The sequence below is a fragment of the Homo sapiens genome, chromosome 4 (assembly GCF_000001405.40).
Source record: "Homo sapiens chromosome 4, GRCh38.p14 Primary Assembly".
NCBI lineage: Eukaryota > Metazoa > Chordata > Mammalia > Primates > Hominidae > Homo > Homo sapiens.
The window spans coordinates 144,108,446-144,130,030 of NC_000004.12; the positions used below are offsets into that span (position 1 = coordinate 144,108,446).

At 36.5% G+C, this 21,585-nt stretch overlaps 1 protein-coding gene and 1 long non-coding RNA gene across 8 annotated transcripts in view; one reads left to right on the plus strand and one right to left on the minus strand.

Annotated features, from left to right (window-relative positions):
* The window catches only part of LOC105377460 (uncharacterized), a 106,316-nt gene that overhangs the window by 30,248 nt on the left and 54,483 nt on the right, over window positions 1–21,585 (plus strand). Inside the window, exon 8 of the long non-coding RNA XR_002959803.2 lies at window positions 6,214–6,784. This is a non-coding gene — a long non-coding RNA (uncharacterized LOC105377460). The remainder of the gene's footprint in view (window positions 1–6,213; window positions 6,785–21,585) is intronic.
* GYPA (glycophorin A (MNS blood group)) overlaps window positions 858–21,585 on the minus strand; it is a 31,416-nt gene continuing 10,688 nt past the window's right edge. For 2 of the 7 annotated variants that reach the window (NM_002099.8, NM_001438627.1), the window contains 6 exons: window positions 12,045–12,143; window positions 11,241–11,336; window positions 10,269–10,307; window positions 8,409–8,494; window positions 6,244–6,322; window positions 858–2,965 (listed from right to left, as the gene is read on the minus strand). In NM_002099.8, coding sequence (NP_002090.4) covers window positions 2,949–2,965; window positions 6,244–6,322; window positions 8,409–8,494; window positions 10,269–10,307; window positions 11,241–11,336; window positions 12,045–12,143 — 416 coding nt within the window. In that variant the 3' untranslated portion in view covers window positions 858–2,948. The remainder of the gene's footprint in view (window positions 2,966–6,243; window positions 6,323–8,408; window positions 8,495–10,268; window positions 10,308–11,240; window positions 11,337–12,044; window positions 12,144–21,585) is intronic. The other 5 variants (NM_001308190.2, NM_001308187.2, NM_001438046.1 and 2 more) reach the window with 5 other exon arrangements.

Here is a 21,585-nt window from a genome sequence, read left to right on the forward strand (position 1 = left end):
TGACATTTCTGCCAGGCAGTTATTCTAATCTTCATATTTCAGATAAAGAAACCAAAGTTATGTGAATAAATAGTGAGGATTCAAATCCTGGCTCCAAATCTGATTCTCTGTCCACATCACGCCAGACCAAACCTTTAAGAGGTCACTGTGTATCATGCCATTTTAAATATTAATAAAGGCTTCATGAAATAAGAAGCAAATTTTGTTAAGCCTCTCAGGAGTTACAAAAATGAATTAAAGTTCTTGCTTTTAATGAATCATAGTTAAGAAGGGTATGGAATTCAGATCGTAGTAATGCTACAAAATATGCATAAGTGCTGTGAGGATTCAGAGGAGATGTTTACATCTAGATGCTGAAAGTGGGTTAGCAGTTGGCAATGCACATGCCCCCTAAATACAGCTGAGGGCATAAATGCATTAGAACTGGTTGACACAGTGAGAGGCCTATGCATCACTTTGGGTCAAAGTATTTATTTATTTTTATTTAAATAACATTTGGCTTTTAGGAATTTCTTCTAAGAAATTTGCTACATTTGATAGGATATATGTTTAGAATAAACCAGAAGGCTATTCTTCAATCACTATATATCAATATCACCAAAATACGCCTTTGTCCATGCTGTTCTTTGGCTCTCCGTTCAGAGTTGTTTTTGGAGTTAAATTTCTATTGCAAGAAAAGGTCATTCTTTCTTCACAATGCCTCTCAGCCTTCTCCATTCATTTTTTCCCTCATTTAGATCTTTTGCTCATAACGACACAAGCAAACAACCAGGGCTGAAGAGTACAATTCCATAATCAGCATCACCAAACCTTCCCATCCCATCCCCAATTTTAAGAAATCCAACATGAGCCATCCATGGGGTCATGGTATCTTCACAGGAAAGATTTCTTTATTACAATATTTTGCTGATTTAATTATAAAAATACAAGGGAAATGGTCATTTCTTCCCCCACGAATACCAAATTTAACTATGAAAATTTCATTGCTGATTCGAATGTCACCTCTGGAACCTTTGTTGAAATTTAATTGCCATTGTAACAGTGTTGGGAGGGGCCTTTAAGGTCACGATTAGGTCATGAGGACTCCATTCTCATAAATGTAATAACGCCTTATAGAGGGAATGGGCTTCTGATGAAAGGATGTGTTTGGCTTCATTTCCTCTCTCTTCATCTTACGCTTTTGCTTGCCTTGCTGCTTTGTTATCATGCAGTAAGAAGGTTCTCATCAGTTACAAGGCAGATGTCAGTGCCATGCCCTTCGCCTTCCCAGCCTCCAGAACTAGGAAGAAAATAAATTTCTTTTCTTTTTAAATTACCCAGTCTGTCGTATTCTGTTATAGTAGCAGAAAATTGGCTAAGACATTCATATATAGAAGTACAGAGAAATTGCTTGGAAAAGTTCAAGGAGGTCAAAGCAGTTTGTACTTTAATTATTCACTAAATTCTGTAGCTCTGGTTAAGAAGGCACATTCACTCTGATCTCTTCCTGTCTTTGACTTGTAAATTACTTTAGCAAAAAGGTTAATCTCACCCTCTCTTGTTTCAACATGTTGCTTTTATTAAAAATGTAAATTTAAAATTACCTTGGCATTTGGGTCATTAATTGGATTAATTAACCTAATAATGCTCTTAAAATTACTTTTAAAAAACATGTATCAACAGAAATGTTCCCTTCTTAGTCTCATTCTCTATTTTAAGTAGTCAATATAGTACAAAAACACTCTCCGAACATACAAGTAGGTTAAAATTTAGATTTTTTAATTTATTAAAAGGTAAATTTCTGTTACCATGCCTGAAAATATGCAAAATAGAAAACATTTACTTGGTTATCACACAATAATAAAAAGTCATATAGATTTTTATTAGTTCGGAAATAAAGTATCACAGGAAGGTCTTTTTTGTTTTTTGTTTTTGCTTTTTAAGTTTTACTACAAATGAGTGACAGCTGTATAGTCACAGTCCTTAGTTTCTATATCTAGAAATTTCCTTTAAATGGTTTAAAGCAATTTCCAAAGTTTTATTAATAAGAGAAACTGGGACTGGACAGATTAAAGAATTTAATTGAGAACCTTATAGTAACCTATTAAAATATTCACCTGCATGTCCGGTTTGCACATCTTGTTGAATTTAGAGTTGAGTTTCTGTTATAAAGAAAGGTCGTAAGTTCTTTTCCTTCTCCGGATACTCTACTTACACAAATAACTCTTTCAGTGGAATGCAAGCTTCAGTGAGTGCTCCGACACAGTTCTACTGTTAGACAAATTATTTTAAATATGGCACTTATATATATGTAATATTTCATATTAATGGGAAAACCTTTTGTGTTGATTTATGCATTAAATGATAAATGTGTGTGTTTGTGTGTGTGTGTGTGTGTGTGTATGGCATTTCTGAGCATAAGCTTTATTAGTGTGAACAAAATATAGTAATCATTCATGTAATATTATATCTTGCCTGTTCAGCAATGAAGGAAATGAATGATAGGACTTTAGTGTCCCCTTAATTTATTTAAAACAATGAAACCAGACTCAAAAGTTTACAATAGGAAGAAAATCTAAACTTCATCTAGGTATTTCAAGCCTTTCATTTGACAGAATCATCATTATAATACAATAGAATAGGTTAAGTTAATATTAAACAAACGTAGATGAATTCAACTAAAGTTTTGGATCAGAATTCTCAAACAATTCTAAAAATTATGCTAACACACAAAAGCAAGCATTCAAGGAAACATTTGTTCTTTATCTTGAAATATTAATGAGCAGAGATTTTTTTCCCCATCATTGAGTCACTGGAACTCATTATAATGAAAATTGCATTCTGAAATTGTACAACTTAGGCAGGTATATAATTTATTGGAGTGTCCAGTCCACATGTTAATTTTTCACTTGACTGAAGTCTTATGTCTTCTTTGTGTTCTTTCCACATTTGGTTTGGTGAACAGATTCTCATTGATCACTTGTCTCTAGAAGGATTATAGTAAAAAAAATACAAGACCGAAATATGAGACATAGTTATGTTTAAACACAACAGGAAATTAATGCACAGTATACATTTTAGGATTCTACATTCTTGCAGAGTTGTTCTTGAATGTAATTAGTAGGAAACGAAAGGACTCTCCTTACATATTAGCTCTATTGTCAAGTTTTGTGTAAAGAAAAATACAGAATTTCTTAGAATATCTATTCTAAAAGCCTTAGGTAAAGAATAAATATAATTGCTCTGCTCCTAGTTTCTACAGAGATAAGAAACAAACAGCCAAACTTGTATAGAGGCAAAATATAATGTGAAGCCAGTAAATGATAAGTTGAATCACATATGCATGTTAAAATTTAAGGCATGTGTCTAAGTCTGTCATGTCTTTTTAAATAATGACTTTTTTTTTCCCCCAAGGAGAAGTCTGCACAAAAGCTTATGGCCAAGTTCCTCTCTGGTTCTAGGGTGTAAAAGAAGGGCACTGGGCTAGTTTTCTCCAGTAAACCCGATGCTCCACTTTTCCTGGTTGGAAGGTTGAATTTATGTTGCTCCTAGAAACTGCATGAAAGGGAGAGGGGAGCCCTTGCTCTTCCAGAAGCAGAGCTTTTCCAGCCTTCTTCTATTTGGGCACCACAGGAACTGTGCATCTCAAACATTCTCCTGTGGGAAATAGGCTAGTGGGTCACATATGCATGCCACAGTGGCCAGCTGACTCAGATTCGCTTATTCTCATTTTTCACCAATCACAGATCATGTGCACTTTTAGAAGGTTAAAACAATTTATACTCTAATTACTCCTTTACATCATTAGTTCTTGTTGAGATGGTACTGTCATTTTAACCTCTTATGCCTTTGGCTTATAAACTAATTTAGAGCCATATTCTATAAAAGTAGAAATAAAGCATTTTAAATAATCTTTAATAATGTGTTTTCCTATGTTTTCTGTGAGGTGCAGTCAGAATTCATAACTTGTCTCACTAACATACTAAGACATTTAATAACTTCACTTGCACAAATGTGGGGAAATAAAGTGAGCCTAAAGTTTGGTTCTTCTGACTTTCCACTGCCATTACACATATTTGAGATGTGAACAGAGAACCAAAGCAGCAATCCTGCTAATGTGGAAATGCATACAATTCTTTAAGTAAACATATTCTGTCTTCCATGCTTTTACTCACTCAGGCTGCCCTTCTGCTAAAACTACCCTGCCCTAGCTAATATCTATCTGTCTTTTAAGGCTAATCCCAGGTGATTTCATCTTCAGAAGCCTTTGATACCTGTCTCAGTCTCTGGGACAAGTGGAGCTATTGCCTCCACTACTGTAGAACTTGTTCACTGCAATGACATTCTGTTTTTTCCATTAGTCTCTCAGCTTCTAAAGGACGAAGACTCATATTGGTATATCTAATGTGAGTGTGGTGCCTACCCCACTGTATGCATTTAGCAAATGTTTGTTGCACTTAACTGAATTAAACTACAAGGACATCTTGATGCACTGTGGCGTATTAAATTGTGCCAAACATTTGAGATGCTTAAAATTGTATGAAAAAAATGGCAGGGGAAACTCTAAACAATAAATTTGTCTCTAGAATAAATAAGTAGCTAAAAATGTATATAAATTTCAGTTCGAAAAATAGGCTTTAGGTTGTAATTGCTCCACTTGAAAAACTACATCAAGACTTTTTTGTGGAACAAGGCAGAATGCAGATAAAATGAATATTTTACAGATACTTGTTCCAGCTGCCAGTCCAATAACAAGATAACCTTAGTAAATGAAGTGAATCTGGCATATGACTCAAAAACTTCCGTTGTTTCAAGTATCTGCAGATTGGATTTTATTAATCCTTTTAGCTGAGAATCATATCTATGCCATTCATTTCCACATAGCAGGAATGTCTTAGGATTATAAACTTATGTAACAATTACTCTTAAGCTTTAAGAATTCACATGATAATGTGATGTGGCAAATCCTGCATATAACCTGTGTAGCTGTGATGGATCTTGAAAACTCTGTGTTCTGTGACTCTAAAGTCTAGAAAACCTAGACTGGCCCAGGGTTAAAATCGAAATCCAGAAGCATACAGGACCTCTGATCTGTCATGATTTCTGAAAATTATGGGAGTAAAATCAGTTGATTTTGTAGAAGGCAGAATGAAATCTCTTTTGCTTGAGAAATAAAGCTCATTCCAGAGACTTGTTCTTAGTAACTATCTCCCAAAATAGATGTCATTTGGGTTTATGCTTCAGGCAAAGTTTAATAGAAACTATATGCTTTCTTAGTGAGTTCATACCAGGGGCCACGGTGAATAAAACAAATGCAATTGGCTAGGGATTTAGACAGACAGTACAGGTAGCAGCCACTACTCAGCTCTTAGGAATTGGTCTCATGCTGGTATGAAGGCTCTCAGCATTTTGGGAGTTTACATTTTTCCCCAGAGGAATAGCAATACTTGATTTTTAAAATGTAACAATTTCCGACTTTTAAAGGTTGACAATAAATATTCTTTTCAAAAAGCACTATGTGGTTTAATACTGTTCTGGATAAACAAAATATATCCATGGCCTTTCACATGTTTTGTATCTGCTTAGCACCTGGGAGTGGAGATGAAAGCATGTGCCAGATGGCTTGCCAGTGTGCACAGGAGGTCATTTGGGAATGACACTATATTGATAACATGCTATATTGATATAGCATTGATGTCAGTGCTATATTGATAACAGCTAACAGGCATGAGGACTTATGATGGCCACAAATGGTTTTAAATGCTTTACCGGTTGTAGCTCATTTAATTCTCATTAAACTTTGTGAGGTTGATACTATCATTATCCCCATATTAAAAGAGGTTTAGTAGCTTGCTCAGGGTTACACAGCTAATAGGTGTTGGAGCATGGATTCAAATCCAAGTCTGATTTCAGATCTGGGGCTAATTCACTATGCTACACCATACTGACCATAGAGTCTCCTATACACATAACTTTGCAGTTTGGGAAATACGAAGTACACTTGGTTTTCTCTTTTGCTTTTACTATTTGATTGAGTTTTTTTTTTTTTGTTAAAAAAACAAAACAAAACAAAACACTTTGTGTCCAAAGGAGAATCTCACTATGCTGCAGACATTTCTAAAAAGTCAAAGAAGTAGAATTAATGAGATAGAATAGAAATGAATCATAACTGGTTCCCTCCTCCCTCAAATCAGAAAGAAGTAACTCACTGGTTTGATTTTTTTTTCCTAAAAGGCAAAAGGAACTGCAAATATTAACACCAACCTGGATTTTCTATTTCAACAGAACTTAAAGGCACGTCTGTGTCAGGTGAGGGGAGAGGTTTTACATCAGATGGGCTTTTCTATGAAGAAATACCATAAAATATTAATAACACAATTTTCTAGTCTTAAGACAGTAAAAAGTAAAATGCTTCAGCTTAAAAATATTTTTTTCTAAAATTTTTTTTCTTTTGGTTGAAATCCCCTTTGCAGAGATTTTGTTATTGTTGTTGTTACTAGTTACTGGTATAAGCATTGATTTAAACTTGTATTTGTGTTCCTCTATAGTATTTGGTATTTCAGTAGGAGAAATATCACCTCAAACACTGATACTTACATATTTCCCTGCTGTAATAAATAGTGAAAGTGAAAATAAAAATAAAAATAAAGTGTGTGATCTCTGCATCATGTTGACCAGGACAAAATTCATCCATATACACTTAGAAAATTCTCTGAACTTTGCCAACTAAATATTTCCTTGGCTTTTTCAGGTTTTAGAACATTGACGAAGAGAGAAGACAACCCACTTTGCCATATATGCCCATGTAAGAAGATGACTTTTCTCTTTTATACTCCAGGCAAAAAAAGCTATCTTATATTAAAGTCCTTACAAAATATCTCACACAAGAGTAGGCATTTTCAGTTACTTTTCTTTGATTAACAAAAAGTATTATTTAAGGAAGATATATTTACATGGAATACTGAAAATCAATTATAGGATTGGATGATGGTAGAAGTTAACTGTTAGAAGTAGTTAAAAAAGAAAAGAGGCAAAGGAACTTAATGTAGATATTACTATCATATCTTCTGATGGCCCCACAATTGCAGTGCTGTCACACCTCTCAGCCTTTTTAAAAGAATTATATAGTGGTTATGGTCTCAAAAATCACAAAGAGAGATTAAGAATAGAGGATGAATGAAAACACAACTGTACCAATCTCATGTGACTAAGTACTTCTGATCTAGGATTACAGAGACAGTGACAGCATCATAAATACACACACACATATTATGTCTTAAATATCGTGAATAGAAAGTGATAGCAAAAGTTATGCACTTCGATAAGCTGTGTTGTATGGATGTAAAAATAGCATTAGTGGGCTGGGCGTGGTGGCTCATGCTTGTAATCCCAGCACTTTGGAGGCCAAGGGCAGATGGATCACTTGAGGTCAGGAGTTTGAAACCAGCCTGGCCAACACAGCGAAACCCCATCTCTGCTATTAAAAAAATACAAAAATTAGTCAGGCATGGTGTCCCGCACCTGTAGTCCCAACTACTGCGGAGGCTGAAGCACGAGAATCACTTAAACCAGGGAGGCAGAGGCTGCAGTGAGCAGAGATTGCACCACTTTGCACTCGAGCCTGGGTGACAGAGGGAAACTCTTGTCTCAAAAAAAAAAAAAAAAATTAAAAAAAGCATTAATGATTCAAAAAAAATCACTGATGTTAAGAATTCATGGGTGGAAATTTGAAAAATCTGTTTCAGAATATGTGAGAATTAAGAAAGGCAAAAGTTTTATTTTGTTTATTTTTATTTATTTATTTATATAATTATTGAGACAGGGTCTCACTCTGTTGCCCAGGCTGGAGTGCAGTAGCATGATCACAGCTCACTGCAGCCTTGATTTCCCAGGCTCAAGCAATCCTCCCACTTCAGCCCCCTGAGTAGCTGATACTACACATGTGCACCACCACGCCTTTCTAATTTTCATATTTTTTGTATAGACTAGGTTTCACCTTTTTGCTCAGGCTGGTCTCAAACTCCTGAGCTCAAGCAATCCTCCTGCCTTGGCTTCCCTCAAAGTTTTAAACATATGTAAATATATTATTTTAAATATTTTATACACTAATAGGGTAAATACTATAAGTAGAATCTTAATATTTCCTCAATATCCATCAAAATATGTGACAGCAAGTTAGACAAAAACTTAGGGAGATCTTTCATTGGGAAAATGGGGGACAGATTTATATTTAGAGGTTCCCTTTAATTGGGCAAATGCAAAGAAAAATTCTGCTAGAGAAACACAGTGACTTCTATGTGTCCAGTTGAAAAATATGGAATTTTATGCAGTTCTGTTTCTCTTTTGAGTTTAACTGAACTCAGAGGAATAAACCCTCTTAGAGCTGTTCACATTGGTATTTACAGCAAAATTAAAAACTGAATTCTCACCTTTATCAGTCGGCGAATACCGTAAGAAATTAAGAGGATCGTTCCAATAACACCAGCCATCACCCCAAAAATAATGAGTGTTATCTCTACAGGAGATAAAGAGAGCAGCAAAATTATGAAAGTCTGAAATAAATGACCATATAGCAACTGAAAAATAAGACAGATAACATCAGCATACCATCACCTTGCCTTTTAATAGAAAGCACAATTAATATACTATTATGTAGATTTTGTCTTTTTTTAAATTGTGTGCTTTACAGTAACCTTGTGGGAAACTGGGACTGTGAGTGATCAAGTCTTTTGTCCAAGGTCGCAAAATAGTTGATGACAGAACTAAGACCTGAAGCTTCTGATTCCAGACCCAGCGTTCTTCACTAGTGTAACTGTAGATAAGAACTCAGTGGACGTTCTCCTCAGATATGGGGAAAAAACCACAAATTCTCCCATAGTTTGGAAGTTATGAGAGAAAATAATGTCTTAATGTATAAAAGAGCATTGAACAGATCATAGAATCATAATTTTGGAAAGAAACTGGTATAAACAGTTTACAAATGAAGAAAAGAAGCTGAATAAGGTTAACTTAGCCTTGGTCAGACAACTAGTTAAAAGTAGAATTATAATTATAATGCAGGTCATCTATGTTCTAAGCTTTATTCCTTCCATAGTATTCTTATGCATAGTCTCCAATGTAGTCACTAAAAATGCTTGTTGAGTCATTTATATGTTGGGAATGAAACAATTGAAATCAATTAAGAGATATTTCCATATTTATAGCATATTTGTAGTGCTTCCAGTTGAAGTAAATAGAATGGAAGGCTAGACATAAAGGTAAAATGGCTCATTTATTTGCCTAATTAATATTTAAAAGCCCTATTGTTGATAAAAAGTAAAAGTAGCATTTCCTCTTGCTGGTGTTGCCCAGCCTTCTTGACCACTTAGCTTGAATGTATGCGATAGTGATGAAGTTCTATGATGTGCTTTTTACCCTGTGAGCCGTGGACACAGCCAAGTGTGAAGGGAGGGTTGGAATGCAGAATAGCAAATGAGCACACACAGTGATACTCAAGTGAGGGGAAGGGATGTCCCTTCAGCAGAGGTTGTCAAGATGGTCCCTAAGTGGTTGCATTGGGCCAAAAATGAATCAAGGCTGAGATTTACCCTTGAAATACAGTACCAGTTAATTAGATGATTTTAAATGCCTTGCTTTTTATATGAGGGAAGTTCATTTGTTTTATAAGCTCTTATGAGGCTTTTTTCAAGTACTCAGGCTTGGTTAGAAAGGTAAAACATCTAACTTAAGAGAAAAACTATTACCAAATTATGTATTTCTATTTCCAAAATGTTTTTATTTATTTTTATTTACTTATGTATTTGTTTTTGAGACAGGGTCTTACCAAGGCTAGAGTACAGTGGCACAGTCATAGCTCACTGCAGCCTTAAACTCCCAGACTCAGGCAATGGATCCGATCCTCCCACCTCAGCCAGCCTCCCAAGTAGCTGAGACTACAGGTGCGTGCCCCATGCCAGCTAATTTTTGTATTTTTTGTAGAGATGGATTTCGCCATATTGCCCAGGCTGTTCTCAAATTCCTGGGCTCAAGCGATTAGCCAGGCTCAGCCTCCCAAAGTTCTGGGATTATAGGCATGAGCCACGGCCCCTGGCCCCCAAAATGTTTTTAAAAATAAGAAATGCCTATTTTAATTTTAAAAAGAGAATATTTTCTTTGCCTTTACAATTTTGTGTGAATAAAGTTAACAACATATGCTCTTCTAAGATAGACACATTTTCTTAGGCATTTGAAACAAGCAATGGATAGTTTAAAATGGAATGACTTTTATTCTTTGTCAAATATTAACATACCTGGTTCAGAGAAATGATGGGCAAGTTGTACCCTTTCTCCTATAAAGCAAAATTTCAATGTAAGTCCAAATAAGTAAGGCATGTGCAAAGAAAAAAATCATTTTGGAATCAAACTGTTCTGTGGGTTTCCTTTTCTTAATCATATTTTGAGAGTTGTTGGTCAACTTTCAACATCTAGCTAGTAACATTTATGAGGTAATATGTCAGTCGTACCATTAGTAATTTCAGTATCTACTTTTAATGACCCAACAAGTATTCATGGATGAGAAATAAGCAAATTGTCTCATAACTGAGGGGGAAGGAATGAGAAAGTATTGGAAGAATCACTTATTGACTTCCACAAGAAGCAATGCATTTTTAAAAAATTTAAAAATAAGGAGAAGAAAGGAGGCATATGGAACCATTACTCCACACAGATGCCAGTCCCATGCAAAGAGGGATCATGCGACTATCAATTTTCTGATTTATGCCACAGCCACTGTCTGAATCTAAACTGTTACTGTGTCTCATTTGAGCTTTTGCCAATAGTCTCTCTGGATTCTATGTCAGCAGCAATTGATAGTATGGTTGCCTTACTGTTCCACCTGTGCTAACCTTCCCTCTCAGTCCACATCCTACTTTTGTCTCTGTCTCCACTTGCCATTTTACATCATGAAGCTCTCTTACTACCGAAGCCACACAATTTTCTAGAGTTTAATTATTACAAATTACTTAGTATATACTATGCTGTTTGATGATTGAGGATTCAGGTATATTTTTTCATTCTTTAGGCTTTACGTACAAAGGTTAATTGGGGCTTGCCTTCTCTTTCTTGGTCACAGTTAATAGTTGTGGGTGCTATATGGGCTTTGGAGTAAAAGAGATGGGTTTTCTGTCACGAAAGCTTGAGAACTGTCATGAGTTACAGCTCGTGTAAATAGAGTTCAATCACAACAATGACTCCAGAGCAACTATTTAAAACTAAGAACATACCGGTTTCCTCTTCTGGAGGGTAAACAGTTCTAACAGAAATTTCTGAAACTTCATGAGCTCTAGGAGTGGCTGCATATGTGTCCCGTTTGTGCGTATCTGCATATAAGAGAAGTTGAGAAAGGGCACAAGAATGAGGTGACTGCGTGGACATAGAGCGTATTATGAAAGACAAACTCTCCCACATCCCTCCCAGCAGCGGCTCCAGAATTTCTTCTTCTCCCCTGAAAACTAACAAGAGAGACTGCCACCAGATTACTCTTATCTCAGCACCCAGCTTTGCTTATTGTTTATCAGTCACTGAGAATGTGTGAGGCTCTGAGCTAATAACTTTTAGATACATCTTCTTATTTAGCCTTTAGAGAAATGCTGTGAGATAAGTACTGTGTTATTGGCCCCATTTTAAAATTAATGGGATAGAAACCCTGCAGGGCAACTCACCCTGGGTCAGCAGCTGGCATAGAGCTGAGCCCGGGTCTGAGCTGAACTCAGTTTGCCCACAGACCCTCCGCACCACCGCACTATTAGGTCCCCTTTATCTGGCCCACTATTTCATGGTCACGTGCATCATTTCTGTGCTTTGCCACATTGTTTTAATTTCTTTAACTCACAGTATTATTTCTGTGAGATATTTCAGAGGCAAGAATTCCTCCATAGTAGGAATTGTGTCTACTTAGTAGGCTGTGTCTACTTAGCTCGCATTTCTCAGTGTTTGTCAGTTTCTCTGCAGTGACAGGTCCCCTAAAATGGGTTACATCACAAAAATGATTTCGGAGCCACAATTTAAAAATAAAAATGAAAACAAACCATTTGTCTGTGATGAGATGTAACTCTTTGTGACTGAAGAAGAAGTTGAAGTGTGCATTGCCACCTCAGTGGTACTTAATGCTGATATGCTCACAATTTCTGTATAAAATAGAAGTTGAGAAAGGGATTAAGAACGAGGTGACTGAGCGGACCATAAAGCATATTGCAAAAGACAAATTCCCTCACATCCCTCCAGTCCCTGAGCTAAGCGCTTTGGTATATATCTTACATAATGTTTAGAGAATTGCTATGTGGTAAGTATTGTATTATTGGCCTTATTTTAAAATTAAGGGGCCAGAAGCCCCTCCAGAATTTCTGCATAGCAGAGGTTTACAGATAAAGCGTGCCTTGGTTTTCTCATCTGTACAATAATAATACTTGCCTCAAAATGTCATTGTGAGAACGAAATTAGTTTAAATATGTGTGTGTATGTGGTGTGTGTGTATGTAATGTGCATGTGTTAGTATAGTACTTGGCACATAAAGAGCATTACATATATGTTGGGTATTATTGTTATTATGCTTATAAAGGGGTAACTTGAAGTTGCATTTTGGAAACTGTCTATGCTAAGAAAGGTGGAAGCGCATAATAATTATATAGAACAAAACTTCTGTCCCATATCTCAGTGTCTCCATCTGCTAGGGACAATCTTACTTCTTCAATAAAAATGGAAACAATAATAAAACACTATTACATTGTGTGAACCCAGGAGGCAAAGCTTGCAGTGAGCCGAGATCACGCCACTGCACTCCAGCCTGGGCGACAGAGCGAGACTCTGTCTCAAAAGAAAAAAAAAACCATGCATGCAAACATGAAATCAGAATGTAGACTCACATATATCCTTTTAAAATCTCATTAAATAAATTGTGAATTATTTTTGTAATTAAACACTTTTTATTCTTAAATGCAATACATTTCAAATTTATAAGTTATTTTATAAAATTTTATAAATTAAATTCTTTAAATTGCAAAAGTAATATAGATTCAGTAAAGAAAATTTGGGAACTACAAGAAAGCACAAAGAATAATATAAAATTCATCTACAGTCAGCCTATGCAAGGTTGAACATTTGACACATTTTGATATATAGCCATCTGAACTTTTAGTTGTTATATCTAAATATGGGATCATGGTGTTTAAATATACGTGAATATGTATATAATGTTTACAAGTCTGACTTTCTACTTAATATGCCACAGATATCCCTATGCTGTCAAATATTCTTCTATGAGAAGATTTTTATGACTGCAGAGTATTCCATTGTATGAATGTTCTGTGGTTTATATTTCAATCTCCTATTCTGTGCATTCATGTGTTTTTCACTCTTCTGAGAGTTATAAATCATTATGATAAAAGTCAGTACCCTGAACTCTGTAGATGTACATTTGCTCATCTCTTGGAGATATTCAACTGAGGGGAATGGCACCCAAGTGCAATGGAGTGGAGGTGGAAGGGCTTCTTCTCAGAGGCAGCCAACTTGGCCCCTCAGCTGAATGCTCAAAGTTTCCTGGAGAACCCACAAACAACAGAAAACATCTTCTCTGACACCTCTCATTAGTCTACCCAACTGAAGACTTCTAAAACCTTCCTCTATTTATCAGCTGATAGGTAATCAGTTTACCTCCAAATCATGGAGAAGACATGATCTATTGTTCCTAAACTGTCTATTTTTTCTCTTCTCTTTTAAGTTCTTTTCTGGCCTTGCTCTTTAACTTGGCCTGCCACCTGATTCCATCATGTATGTATAAACGATTGCCATATGAATTCACTAAATAGCATGCAAAACAATTACTGAATGTTTCTAAGTTGTTCAGCACTCAGGTATAATGGCTTTTAAGATAATATAAAAACCAATGCTTTTAAACAATAACCTGGTGATAGGGATTTTGAAGTTCAACAAATATTAAGATTAAAATTACAGAAAGAAACATCTTTATGAGTCAACTAAAGTACGTAAAAATTATTTATAAAGATAACTAATGAACAAAAATAATCCATCTCTCTTAATAAATGTTAGATATGAGCTTTGGCTTATTTCTAGATAATGGAATATGGACCTTCTATTGTATTTTTGAAAAGGCATACAATCTGAGTAAAATAGGTTTAGCTATGAAAGTGTTGTGAAAATAGCTAGTAAAACAACAAGCCAAAAAAAATCAAAAGTGTTAATGGCCAGAAGCCTTAAATGGGCATGTAACAATAAACTTGAGATCAGCCTTTGGCTCAGCAACATGGGAATACAACTGGAAAATGCAGCTGGAGCTCTCATCCTTCACTCAGGTGTGCTCGTCACTTCCATTTCTAACTTTCATCCTCTCCAAGCTTCTCCCTTTAATCTTCCACTCCTTCTTTACACCTTTCAGTTCAGTGTAATCCACTTACATTTAGGGTGCACATTTCTTAGCCCTGTGGATACCAAATGGGCTCTTCTGAAACATAAAACTTGTTCCTAGGACTTCAATTTCCCATTATTTTGAATCTTCTCAGCATGAGAATAGTGCTTTATTCATAAAAGATGTTAAATGAAATGCTAATTGTTATAAATGCTTGGACAAATTCTTACGTAGAAAGAATTAGGTGAGTGGTATGGTTTGGATCTGTGGCATCATCCAAATCTCATGGGGAAATGTAATCCCCAATGTTGGAAGTGGGGACTGGTGGGTGGTAATTGAATCATGGGGCTGGTTTCTCATTGCTTAACATCATCCCCCTTGATGCTGTCTGGGAGATAGTGATTTCTCATAAGATCTGGTTGTTTAAAAGTGTGTGGCACCTCCCCACTCTCTCTTGCTCCTGCTCCAAGGCTCTCTCTCCCCACTCTCTCTCTTGCTCTTGTTCCAACCATGTAAGACGTGCCTACTTTCCCTTCGTCTTTTGCCATGATTGTTTCCTGAGGCCTCCCCAGAAGCAGAAGCACTATGCTTCTTGTATAGCCTGCAGAACCATGAGGCAATTAAACCTCTTTTATTTTATTTTATTTTATTTTATTTTATTTTATTTTATTTTATTTTATTTTATTATTATTATACTTTAAGTTTTTGGGTACCTGTGCACAATGTGCAGGTTAGTTACATATGTATACATGTGCCATGCTGGTGTGCTGCACCCATTAACTCGTCATTTAGCATTAGGTATATCTCCTAATGCTATCCCTCCCCCCTCCCCCCACCCCACAACAGTCTCCAGAGTGTGATGTTCCCCTTCCTGTGTCCATGTGTTCTCACTGTTCAATTCCCACCTATGAGTGAGAATATGCGGTGTTTGGTTTTTTGTTCTTGCGACAGTTTACTGAGAATGATGATTTCCAATTTCATCCCTGTTCCTACAAAGGACATGAACTCATCATTTTTTATGGCTGCATAGTATTCCATGGTGTATATTTGCCACATTTTCTTAATCCAGTCTATCATTGTTGGACATTTGGATTGGTTCCAAGTCTTTGATATTATGAATAGTGCCGCAATAAACATACACGTCCATGTGTCTTTATAGCAGCATGATTTATAGTCCTTTGGGTATATACCCAGTAATGGGATGGCTGGGTCAAATGGAACCTCTTTTCTTTATAAATTACCCAGTATCAGTTATTTCTTTATAGCAGTGTGAGAACAAATGGGTTTTCAGATTGCATCTGAATGTGAATATAATAATTTAAGTAATTAATAAATTTAACTTAATTATAACACATAATTAATTATAAATTAATCAATTTATAATTAATATATTTAATTAATACAATTGTTTAATAAATTAAGCAAACCACATGACAAAATAGCACATGCAGAATGAATGCAAGCATCTGGAAAAATAAGCATCATTTTAAGACCAATGAAATATTTTCAACATTTCAATAGCGAGCATACTTTTGCTAACATAAGAAAAAAAAAACAAAAAGTAAAAAATAAAAATACACAAAACGTAGTCTGTAAATGCCATCTAGTGGTTTTGACTATGAGTACAAATATACATATTCCTCCAAGTTGCCTAACTGTTCAGCACGATGTTAGGGACTACCTGCTGCAATTTTCTTTGTGAACATCTGCAAGACTCTGCATGGTCCAGTCCTGCTTGCCTCACATCTTCATTGCTTCGCCCTTCCCTTCCCTCTTGGGGCTCCAGCCATTCTGCACATCTGTTTTCTCTATGACTGCACCATACCCTTTTCCGTGTCCTAAATCTTGTGCCATCTCCTCCCTTCGTCTGAAATATTTCCCTCCCTATCTTTGCCTAACTACTGGCTTTTCAAGTCTCAGTTCAATGCCACTTCCTTTGGGAGGTCTTCGCTGGCCTCTCTAATAAGATTTAGACTAAAAGCTCTCTGAAGTCCCTGGTGCTTAACATGGTGTTGTAAAACCTTATGATTATTTAGAATCCAGATATGCATTCCTTAGGCCTTGATGTTTACTGGGGGCCTTGGGTGTTTCTTAATTTGTTCAATTATTTACAAAAGGTTTTTTTTGGGGTGGGAGGTATAGGCTGTGGGCTATGTACTAGGAAGACAATGATAAATAATACATGGCCTTTCCTTTCAGGGTAATTCCAGTGCAGTAAGAGCGACAATTATTAATCTAAGTATAATAAGTATTTTAGGATGGTGGTGGAAGTGGGGACACAAAGGAGACAGCGGTCAACTCTACTTGGAGAGGTAGAAAGACCTCATGGAGGTGTCTTTGAATTTATCTTGAAAGAAGTCTAGGATTTTACCAGGCAGGCTGTGTGGTACCAGCAATGCCTTGGAATTTGAGACATCATTGCACGTTACAAAAACTGCAGGTTATCTATGTGGCTGCAGCACAAGGTGTGAGAAGGAGAGGAATAGAGAAATGGGTGAACAGCAACTGAGAGGCTGAAGAGGTGGTGAGGCACCAAATGCTGTGGGCCATGTTCTAGAATTTGGACTTTATCTTTAAGGCAGTGGAAAGACAATGAATGGTTTGAAGCAGTTTTTTATTTAGGGAAAATCACTGTCAGTAGTATGGAGGATAACTTAGGGGAAAAAAAAACATGCCAGAGCTTTGCAGTAGAGGGTCCCATCTTGTGTTCAAGAGTGGCCAAGATAAGCAGTCCCTTTGCAAACAAGCCACTTCTGCTCACAGAAGGTCCTTATCACTTCTTAATATTCCTTTGGTGGAGAAGGCCTATAGCCTGAGGCTTTAAAGGGGGCAGAAAATTACAGCAGGTTGTCAAAAGAATATGGCAAAGAACCAATAATGGGAGCTAACATCTCTTAAAATTGGCACTTTAATTATTTTAATTTTAAATGAAGTCAGAGGAGGTGAAAAGTATTTTAAATTTATAAGCAAAGTATATGTAACTTTTTTATAAAAATGAAAACATGCTTAGGGAGAGAGAGCTTATTTAGATAAGTTTTGAGCTTTATCAAAACAATTGTAACACTCTAGCAAATAAGTAGACTTCTTTCTTCTTCAACAGCTACTCCTCACAGTAAAAGAGCACTTGGTGGAAATTTTGTTCTGAAGTGAAGGCTGAAACCCCAGAGATCAAACACTGTACTCAAGTTTACAAAGCTGGACTCAGACCCTAACACTGGCTTTAAAATTTGTCCTAAGTTAGACCATAATGCCTCTCTTTCCAGCTGGATCTACATGCCTCCACTCTGGCTTTTAACAAGGCTCTGAACTATTGTCAGAACTTGGGAATTTCTAACATTGAAGGTAACACATTGACACAATTTCCTCGATGTAAAATTGTATACACTTTATCCAAGTCCCATCTGAGCATGTTATGTCCTATTTGTACCCTTACAAAAACTGATTGGTGGCCAAATTGATTTGAGACTGAAAGTTGCCACTTATGTTCTTAGAAATACTTGCTTTAATTCACCAGAATCAGTTGCTCTGATACAACTTCTTATAGTCACCTAAGTCAACATAGTAAGAAAATAAACATATAAATGCCCTAAAGATAATTTGATAAAAATTGTTTTTTATATCATTTCCTCAACAATCTCATAGTGGTAGCTGACCTATAAAATGACCTTTTTCATAGTTCATTTTTCTTCCATTTCTGGAAAAAAGATAGCATAAGTCTTTCAGTAGGAATTAATACCCATGCATGCTTAGTGGTAAGAAGAAGGCACAGAGGCTTGTTACTGGAAGTCTATAGTTTACAAAACAGTGTCATCTTGAAGGAACAATAGCTCCCATAAAAATGAGTTTTCATATTTTCTTGTATTAATTAACTTTTAAATAATTTCGTAGTTATTCCAGAGTAGAATCACATGGGGGCAATTTAAAGAATTTCATCAATACCTTCAAATTAAATAAACCAGCATCTGGTTGAAAAAAAAAAAAATCACTTACCTGGAAGGAGAAACCAAAGAAACATCCTCAAATTCTAAAGCTTCATTCAAAATTCAAGGTAAGGAAACCAAATTTCCACAATATGATCCCTTAAAATCACCAAGAATGTTCAAAACTACATTTGATAACAACAGCTCACACAACTACTTGGCTCTCCTAGATTCCTAAGACCCTAACCAGCTAATAGACGTCTGTGGACATATTCAATTCTGCAAAGCTGCAAAATATCTGTGAGAAGCTGGTTTTTGAATAGGACTTTTTACTATAGCTATATACTATTTAGTTCAGTAAACTGGGTAGAAAGCATTGAAGCAAACTCGTAACCATTGAACAACAAACTTTAGTTTGCCAAAACTGCTTAGGGACTGGATTAAGGGAAGGCTCTCCTGTTATTTTTATCTCTTTGCCTTTGGTGCTCTCAGCTTTCTGTAGCTAAAGTAGCTTTCAAAAATCTACTTGTGTCATTCCTAGATTAAAGGTCAGTTTAAGTATTGTCCTGTTGAATTCAGAAGGTACATTTAAGCTAGAAAACCACTTGCAGCACATCTAATCCAAATTGCCGACTTTACAGATAGACATTTGGTCTCATAAAAATTAAATGACTAGCTCAGATCAGCATATCTGGTAAGCAGCAGAACTGAGACTTAATTCTGCTGACCCTCAATATTAGTCTCACCTTCCGGATCTCGCTGACTGGTTGAGATCTTGTCAGCAAGATTTCTCTAATGTTTTAGTACATTAGTCAGCAAGCATTGGGGCATATTGTACATACAAAAAAGGACAGCTAAATTCCTGAGCTCCCTGGACATCCTAAAAGCTAGAATTTTAGTAAAAACCATGTAGTCTTCATTTTGATGATTTTTCCACACTAATTTATTGTATTACTTAGATTATATCTCTTACCCCTCAGTGTCCTTATACTATAGCCACTATGAGAAATTATGTTTTGCTCTAGCAATACGGAGATGAGAGTCAGTTTCTTAATCCCTTCACATCTTCTGGCAGGAACACATCCAGTCTATACCTGCAAAATTTCACCTCTCTCTCCAAGTGAAGTATATTTACCTTGTGGTGTTATGAAAGATGTGTCCAGCATCTGGCTACCCAGGAATAGACAGACCTTGTGCCAACACTGCACATTTTCTTAGCTGCATGGGCCTCTGAGAAACATACTCTGAAGACCTTACCCCATGCCTGCTTGCAAATGAATCACTGGATGAACCCTGAAGGATGGGCAGAGTTTTAGGTGAAGATGCAGAGGAGGAGGGATAAAGAAATAGCATGGGCCTAACATATGGAGAAAGGGGAGTATAACATGCATTGATGTGGAGGCTTAGGTCACCTAGCAGGCAAGTGTTGGCAAATCTCTCAGATTGATAAGAGTTTAATGATTAAGTGGCAAATTACTGCAAAATAAAATATAAAGGTATGTTTTGTCATATTAGTGAGGCCTCAAACTCCTACTTTAAATTTATGTTTTTCAGTTTTCAGGCACTGAAATGGCATTTGCTATGGTACTTAGTACAAAGTAAATCTGTGTGACCTGAATTGAATTCTGTAATTTAGGTTTGAGAAGGGTGGAATGAATTGGTATACTTTCTAGAAAATGAAATATTCAATATTTGCGTTTGGATCATCTCACAGCTTATACTTGTATAACATCGGATATGTTCCAGAACATTTCACCTCTCTTGTCTCTTATCCCCATGTGTTGGGGGAGAGAGCGTGGACTTCTGCCACAGTTCCCATTGTACCATGGAGGTGGGGTGACTTGGGGGCCCAAGACATGTTAGGATAACGACTGGAAATAGCCAGCCTCCTAGCTCTCTGCTGCATGCTTTATCTACCAGACCCTCAGCTTTCCCAAATAATTGACATTTCTAACCTGGAATGCTATTAGAAACAATAAAAATAAAATGTGATATTGTATAAGTACGCTTCAGTTTCGCTGTATGCCAAAACTTCCAGTGGCTGAGCTCTTGTCAAGATGTGATAAAGTCAGCTCATGCAGCTGCTGCTTTGAGTTTTGGTTCGCTCCTGACTTGCAGCTGAAAGAAGCCTTATCTTGCATAAGCAAACTCTCACAAGGACACACCCTTCATATGAAATGCCTTAAATAGTTTCCAAGTCTGAAAACTAAATTTTCTAAATGCTACAGTTTTTTGGCATTGCAATGACCATGAAAACTACTTGATAAATGCATCTGTGGAAGTTATGCTCAGCTAATTTGTGGTAAAACTGGGATAAAAACTCATATCCATTGACTTCCAACTCAATGCCTTTTCTGCCCAATCTCATTGTCTTGAACAGAATTAATGTATAAATGGGAATCTTGCCTGTGCTAAAAGATGTTTGAAGAAGACTGTTCCCATGAAGCAATATTTTAAGGGAACGATTTTGTTTGGCTCTTGAACCAAAGGATTGGCAAGTTCAATCTTGGTCAAGTTGTGATAATATAGTTAGATACCCATACTGTCTGTGGCCATTCGTTTTTCTTTTTTGGAAGTTTTTATTAAGCCAAAGCAGCCAACTACAATTTAGAAAAATTGAACTTAAGGATAAAGTGCTTTGTGTGATAGCATCTGAGCCTACTGTTTTGGGTAGCCTATTCTCAATACTTTTTATTTGATCTCTTCAGCCAATGGCTCTGGAGAAAAGCATGGCCTATTAACGGATGCAGTTAGTGTGCTAGGTGCCAAATGGAATGAGCCAGTTTCTGCTCATCTTCAGACTGGCATGCTTTGGCAGTCCCCATACAGCTAATTGGTCACACTTCTTCCTTTCCTAACTTGGTAGAGAAGGGTGCTTTATGTATTCTATCTCGAAGGTGTTGTGGCCTAGGAGGACTGCAGCTTCCCTTCAGGAAGCCTGAACTCTTTAGCCTGGCTCTGTACTATCCAGCTTCTGGTCATCCACACTGTCCCAAACCATTGCTGAGACAGCAGAGGTGGAGAAAAAAAGTCGGTCAGTCTGTCATTCCAGCCAGTGCACATTCTTCAGCCTGGACAGATGGAAATCAAGACGAATTTCTTCCACTGTCCCAGTGGGAAAGGAGAGCAGAGTTCTCTTCCTGGCTTTGCCACCAAATGGTTGGGGGATCTGTGCAAGTCTCTGAAATTATCTGAGCCTCAGTTTTATGGCCTCTAAGATGAGAGTAGTGGAACAGATGTCTCTCTTTTTAAACTTTAAAAAATGTTTTGCTTTTTTCTTGAGATAGG